The sequence below is a fragment of the Homo sapiens genome, chromosome 14 (assembly GCF_000001405.40).
Source record: "Homo sapiens chromosome 14, GRCh38.p14 Primary Assembly".
Lineage (NCBI taxonomy): Eukaryota > Metazoa > Chordata > Mammalia > Primates > Hominidae > Homo > Homo sapiens.
Window position 1 is genome coordinate 62,462,146 of NC_000014.9, and position 8,192 is coordinate 62,470,337.

Here is an 8,192-nt window from a genome sequence, read left to right on the forward strand (position 1 = left end):
AGTTCTCTTGCCCTACTCTGCCATGAGAGACTAAAGTGAAGAGACAGTCATCTATGAAGCAGAAAGTGGATTCTCACCAGAAACTGACCATGCTGGCACCCTGATCTTGGATTCCCCAGCTGACAGAATTGTGAGAAATATATTTCTGTTGTTTATAAGTCACCTACCTAGTCAATAGTGTTTTGCTGTAGCAGCCCAAATGGACTAAGACAGCGGTTAAAAGTAATTGCTCAGAAGTCTTCACATTACATGGGGCACTTGACTTTTACACTTAAAAGGAGTGCATTTATTTTTGTAAATCATACTTCAATAAAGCTGATTTCAAAAAGTGGGGTACTTGAAAGCAAGCTCAACTCAGAATGGCTCTAGATCTCTCCATCGACCTTCTTTTCTCTGTAAGGTATGCACATCATCTTTTTACAAGCACTGTGATTTTCTCAGGCAAAGATTGGAGAGTGACTTGTCTACAAAGAATACAAAAGACCTTTTTTCAACTGCTTAGACTCAGAGTAGTCTCCCTTTATCCACAGGAAATATGTTTCAAGACCCTCAGCAGGTACCTGGAACTATAAATAGTACCAAACCCAAGTGCTGTCAATTGAACACATTTCTGTTTGCCTTCTACCTTCAAATTTAATGTCTTTTCTATCTTAACTAAGCACTCATCTCACGCTGTGGCCATAACTTTTGTAGTTTGAGGTGTGATGGCAAAAGTAGCCAGCATTTCTCCTTCTAATTCCTCCTGAATTTATTTCTCCTCCTTTATAATTTCAGAGATAGAAAATTCGTTCTTACTGCAGACCTTAACAACCTCAGCATATGATTTTTTTCCTTATTAAATTGAGAACATTTACCTTTTCACTTAAAGCACTTTATAGCTTCTCTTTAGTGTATCCGAATTGCCAGCATCACTACTCTTACAGTTTGGGGCCATCATCAGGTAAAATAAGGGTTACTTTTGTACAAGCATCGCACTGTAGCAATTGATCTAACAACCAGGCTCCTTAGTGACTAATAGGCAAGTAGCATCTACGGTGTGGATATGCTAGGCAAAGGGATGAATCATGTCCCAGGTGGGACAGAGAGGGATGGCACAAGATTTCATCATGCTACTAAAAATGGCGTGTAATTTAGAACTTATGAATTGCTTATTTCTGTGATTTCCCATCTAATATTTTCAGACTGTGGTTGACCAAAGGTAACTAAAACCAAAGAAAACAAAACCTTGAATTAAGGGAGAATTACTGCATCTTATGACTATATATACATACAAACTTTGATTTTTAAAGTTAAAGGTTAGTATGCTTTGAAGACGTCTTAGGTTGATCACGGGATCCTAGCTATTCCTTCCTCACTACTCCGCAGTCAGCACAGGGGTAGCCTAGAATGAATAAGGTGGTTAGGTCAATATGTTTTGCTAGTTGGTCACCATCCTGGGAAAGATATAATACTTTGATGCAGCTGAAGCAGATGGATACCTATTTCAAATGGTATGTATGCTATATAAACACACGATTCTCTCATGAAGAACAATTCAATAATATCAGCCAACAAAATGCACACACTTTGTGTAAACCACACTATATTTTTCAGTTTGATGATGATCTCATTTATATTTTCATATACGTCATGGTAAATAGTGCTCACTCCTTGTCATTATACTCAATCTGTTTACTGGCTATGGGATCTCTCTCTTCTTTTTTCTTAAGTGTGTGTGTACATCTATTTACCTTTCCATTGAGGTGAAAATCTCTTTCTAGCACTGTTACAAATTTTACGATATGAGCTGCTTTATGCTTGTCTCTACTTACCAAGATATGCTGGATTTCAATGGCTGAAGGGTTTATTTTCCCTTTGAAATTGTAAGCCAGAGGAATTATTTTATACCAACAAATTTTCATTTTATTTTTCTTGCCTAGAGGTATTCTATGATTTATTCTTCTTCTGGTTATATATTTAAAGATACAATAGATAAAACACACTCCAATCCATTTTCTCTCTCTCCTTTCTTTTTCTTTAAAGCAGCTTTTATTTATTTTTATATTACTAACCCAGGGCAAACTCATTTGTGCTTTCAGTTCCCCAACCTTGAATAATCAGTATCTTAAACATTCCTCTGATAAAATAAGGTCTAGATTTCCAATAACTCTGTAAATATTTGTGTCCTATATGTTGAATCATTCGTCAACTAAAATCATTCAAGTCAACACTGAAATCAGTTCATTTGGGGTTGATGAGGGAATAGTCGATCTTTGATGATAAAAGCAGTTACTGAGATCTCAGTGTGGGCCATTTTCTGTTCCCTGCAGTGAAAAGTTATTTGATTCTACGAGTCAGGTGCCCTGGATGGCATTTTTCTCCCATTTCTGCCTGGCCTAATTCCACCATTCAAGATAAAGCTCAGATATTATCTCCATAAAACCTCCTCAGTATGTCTGGAACTTCTTTTCTGCTGATTTCCCCATACTTCTTGGTTTATTTATCCCTTATGGCACCTATCCTGATTGAAATTATAATAGTTGCTTATAAACATGTTCCATCTCCCCCACTAGATTATTAAACTTGTTTAGCAATATAACAACTATCTCTAATCTACCATCTGTTGCCTCAAAGTATTCAATATATTGCCTTCCACGTATTGGTCACTCAGTACATGTTTATTGAATGGGTAAGTGGATACCAAAGCATTTTAGGTAGAGCTTTTCTAATGAGGTGATATTTGTGTTTTAAGAAAAAAATCTGATGTCTCAAACTACCTTTGTAATAATTATTCAAATGCTTATTATCAAATTGTCCAGATAAGTGTAACTCACATAAATTCCAGAGCTCTTGTGGGTCAGCATGTTCCATTGAAAGAAATATGTCTGAATCTGAAAGCTGTGAAGAATATCATAAAATTTTACTATATCCTGAAGTGTGTCACAGGAGTTTTACACAATACATCACGTAAGAAGACTTCCTAAAAATATTCTATCTTTCTCCAAGATTTCTCATCCATGGTTTCAACTAAGAATATTTTATTCTCTCCAGTGAAATTTTTTACAATTAGGATTGCAAAACTACATACATTCAGGTAGATCTGTGCACATCATTATCTATTTGGAAAACTGTCTGTAGAATTGTGCCGTGTACCATCCATCCAGCCATACGCAGCAGCCCACAGTCATGCTGTTCTCCATTCATTTATACATTCTCTACATCATGTTACTTGCACACAAAAGTCCTTACACATGGCTCTAAGCCATTTTTAACCCCCTGGAAAGTGTAATTCCTTGACTTGGCACCCTTTCTCTTAAGAATTGATGTCCCTTGCAATTCTGATGAATACGAGTCTCTACCTAATTAGACAAAAATCAATTGCGATCAATACTCAAGAAATGAACCCCCTACACAACACTCTAAATTTGCTTTCTGATCCCTAGCAGGAACAACTGTCTATTCATTCATATACTCAATACTTTAGAACATACTGGGTACAAGGAATCATACTATATGCTGGAAATAAAATAATCAGTGATGCTGTCCTTGATTTTAAGGAATTTAAAACCCAAGTATGGAAGCCAAACAAGTAAATTGACAATCATAAAAGTACTATAAGAAGCATAAGTAAGGACTGCTATAGAAATACACAAGTGAACTTTTCAAGGCATGCATGAAAGAGAAAACATTCTATAGAAGTTTCATTCATTTACTTAATAAGTTAATATTCAGCCGGATCTGGTACTAGGTGCCATGTTAACAAGTCTGTATTTTATCCAGAAGGAAATGTGGAACTATTAATCACTGTTAAGCTTGCATGTGGCATAATCAGTTTGGTATTCAAGAAAATTCTGAATTACTCCACAGGTAAAGTTTTATTGGGATAACAAAGGGAAAGAAAAGGAGTAAAAAGTTATTAGAGGTTACTGATCATAAGGAATAGGATGAACAAGGAAAGAAAATTCAGTGACTGAAAAGCAAATAAATAGGAACATAGCAAAAATTCAGGACTGGCTAAAGAACTTGTATAGTGTAAATAACAGAGTGAGAAAAATCGAGAGATCATGATTCAGAAATGTTTTAGGATTTTTAGATGTAGAGGAATTTTAGGGGACAGTAGATCTAGGGTGTACCCAAAAGGGAAGACAGCTGAAATGTTAGATAGTTGAGATGAAGACCAGTGGAATTGAGGAGGCCATAAACTTGGATGGGTACTCCCCTTGGAAGCTGAGTTTAGCCACTTCGATGTTTGGACTCAAAGTAAAGTATAAAAAAGACAGTAGTCTTATGAGTTTATCATAGTGGATAAGACACTATTTCAGGAGGCAGATTGCAGCATACTAATTGTATGCTCTTCGGCAAGTTACTTAGCTCTTAGATTTTCCTCTGGGAAATGGGAATAATAATGGCATGTATCTCAAAGATTGGAGGTTCTTAGAATGATCTCTGGCATGGAGTAAGCTCTAAAAATGTTAGCTATTATTTTAATTTATATTGTAATGATATCATTAAAAAGTTTTAAATTTCTTAAGTTTCTGTTGCTTGAGCAAAAATAAATGAGAAACCACAGAAACATGTCTCAGTTCCTGCTGTTAGAATGATGGTGAGAACTATAGGATATCTTATAAACTGATTGCAAAAGTATGCCTTGGAGTAACAAATAATGGCTTAAATTTAGTTTTATGAAAAGCTTTTAATTTAGGTTTGCAGTAACATATGTTATATTTTAATTAAGCATGAGTACTGGTTTATTCTTCTGGTACAGGAGTGTCACAATTAACTTTCTCAAAGTCTCCTTTGATTCAATTTTTAATGTCAGTAACATAATTAACTACTCTCTTTGGCTTTGGGTTATCATCATGCAATGAGAAACTAGAGCATGAGTCAGTAAAAGGAAGGGTTGATGAGTTCACAACTGGCTAGCTTTTGTCAGGTTTATATCTTTAACTCCACATCAGCTAGCTTCAGTGTCTTTGGCCCAATATAATCTAATAGGAAAGATTAGCTAAAAGTAAAAAATATCTTCTGCAATTCCAAAATAATTGAAATTACATAGATTGATAATACTATCCTGTCCACAAACTGATTCAAAGGTTCTATTCATCTGACTTACATTGAATCAAATTTATCTAATACTCCAGACTTCTTACCGTAACTAAATTCGAAGTCTGAGTGCTTAGTAATCTCAGTTATCTATTTACTTTAAAAAGTAGGAATACTATAGCTGGTAAAATAGAATTACTGTCTATTCTTTGGAACATTATAGTTTAAACAACTTGGTGGTCTTTGTATTCTCAGATATAACTAAAAGGCTATTCAAGTGATTACATAAATTTTATTGTGAAGAAATACTCTTGGGACGATATAAAGGATCCCCATCGAGTTGTCCTCTAAGATACTCTATAATTAGAGCAGTTTCTTACTAATAGTATACATTTTGAAGTTCATATCTGAAGTTATTTTTATGACTTGGAATAGGGGAGCAACTATGAAGTGGCACAAATCTAATGTTGTATGAGCATTTATTGGTTGAATTCTAGGCCATCCCCAACTTTTATACAAAATACATTTTAAACATTCCATTCTATTGTTGGAATGTGAGAAAGTAAACTTGTGTGTTTGTGGGAGAAGGAGACATATAATGGGATGAGGGGGACTGGTTGAGAATGTTCCATATCTGAATTAAAAAAACCCTAATTTTACCTGTGTGTTCAGATACAATTATCAAGGATATACTTCCAGTACTGCATATATGTTCTCTTGATTTTGTTACCCGTTTTAAATTGTGTCTTCACAATTTAAAACTGAAATTTTTAATTTCACAATCAAAACTGAAATTTTGATAAGCACACCACCAATGACAATCGCATCTGTAAGAACTAATTGTTTTATATTTTGCAGCAACATTTTCCTTAGGAAAGAGTGGTACTCAATAAGGAGAAGTGATGTAGGTCAGAAAGCTTGGGCAGCATGGTACACTGGTTAAAAGCATCGACTCCACAGTCAAACTGCCTTAGTCCAAATTGTTACTTAATAAAGTTAAATTAAGCTTTTTGGAAAGCTGCTTTATTTCTATATTCTGGTTTCTCATGTAAACCTCATAGGGTCTTTGCAACTGTTGACTGAAATAAAACATGTAAATTGATTAAAATCATGACGGGCACAAAGTAAGTGTTCAATTAACAATAAAAACAATTTATCTGGGCCAGAAACTATACTGTGCAGTTTACATATTACAATTCAGTTAATTTTCATATGCAGAGTGAAGAATCTCAAGCACAGAGAGGTCCAGTAGCTTATAGCAATGGAATTTCCATCTCAGCAGATGACTGTTGAATTCAGTGTTAATTGATTTACAATACTGACTCTTAAATAATGTTAATTGCCATTATTCCAATTTTTGGATGTCTATTTTTGAAAAAAAAGTTTCTAAGTTTTGGGTCTTCTGTGTAGGTTCAGTACATTTTGGGGGTCTGGATAACTTAGGATGGCATCTTCATCACTGAGTCTTTTCTTTTACCTTTAACTCATTGACTTCCTTCTGTTTGGTATAAACATTCATCACAGATGCTATAAAAATTCAAATCCAGTACTAACTACCCAATGAGACAGTAGGCCCCTTGATTGATAGCAGGAAACACAGGAATCACTAGTGCCATGCTGAGGACACATGACGGGGTCTACAGCATTTTCAGATAGATGCTTATGTAACTAATGACTTCAGTTTATTTTAAATACATATGTAGGAGGGTTGAAGCCTCCTATGAGTACAGAAAGGTTATCCCAACGCATTATTTAATATATCTTCTGATGAGGCTCGTAGAGATTCTAGATTTTCCTAATTATTGCTCTGGTTAAGCAATAAATAACAAATTGATCATTATGTAATGGCATAAATATGAATCCATTAAAATACTGTCCCAACTCTGGCTCTTATTCTTCCATCTAGCTGCCAAAGGAACCCAGAAAGTAGATACTCCAGGAATTCTGACAATGCAAATTATTCAGGTTTCCCAGCATGTCCTGCGGGCACAATGAGGCCATACCAGCTCAGGCTGTGCACTCTGATCCACACTTACTAAACTTTCTGTAATTTCCATAAAAGTCAGTTATGCATGAAGAACAATTCAGCCAAAATTGGATACTTTTACTGACACAGCACTTCTTGGATGACAAAACCAGAGACTTTGTAGGGTCTTAGACCTGGCATTAGGTATCATAGAACTTTCTCTTATTTATTGATGATGGAATAGATCATGTGTGCAGAAAAATCTGAATGAAATAATACTTGAGGCATTTTAGATCATTTCTATGTGTAATGCCATCTTAAGAATGTACATAGGATTGAGGTTTCAGGTCTTTCTAAGTGGAGTTTTCTTGTTTATTGATTCGTCAAATATTCTAAAATTGTACCAAGGAATGATAATTCATATTTCTATTTTCACAAGTATTATATTTAACAACATGGTTTTAATAGAAAAGAGATCATTAGGAGGTTGGCTTGTGTGCCTTATTGCAGCTTAGTTACTCCCACCTGTAAAGAAATACACCTCTACATGTTGCATAGTACAATTAGAAGTACATGCAGAATGAAAGCCACAGGGCCAGAAAGAGGCCAACCATCTGAGAGCATATTATAAAGTGACCTATGGCCCTGCTAAGGCTTTAGGGTCAGAGATGAGTAATACTGGCTTCAGAAGACAGATGACCAACAGATAGAAAACTCAAGCACTGTAGCACACATTTTATCCAAAATAAAAAATAATAATATGAGCTTAGGATTGACTGAAAGACCTTTTTTCTCTGGCATAATTTGGAGGTTTATGGGTCAATGAAGAGTTCACAGGGCTGGTATCACTAGCCCATGAGTTCCCAAATCATTGCCTTTTCTTCTCAGTACTCCAGGTACTTTCTAAACACAGCATTACTCTAACCAAGTTTACAATGCACAAGACTGGATAATATATTACAACGCATAATGTTTTAAACATTAAATAATATTCTACTTTGTATTGAAGAGTTAAGCATTTTTTTTCCTAACTAGGTCATAAACTTTTTTGAGGGTATAGTATATTGACATGAGTGTGTGTGTGCTCCAGAGAACCTAACATATGAGTTTCATAGCAGTTTTTTAAAGAATGTTCATTGAATTAAAGTACACAAAGGTCATTGAAGGATTAATGTCATTGGTCAGTTGCAAAGAAATAATACGG

At 35.0% G+C, this 8,192-nt stretch overlaps 1 long non-coding RNA gene across 1 annotated transcript in view; it reads left to right on the top strand.

Moving 5' to 3' along the window:
• The window catches only part of LOC105370529 (uncharacterized), a 149,443-nt gene that overhangs the window by 104,237 nt on the left and 37,014 nt on the right, over positions 1–8,192 (top strand). The window lies entirely within an intron of this gene.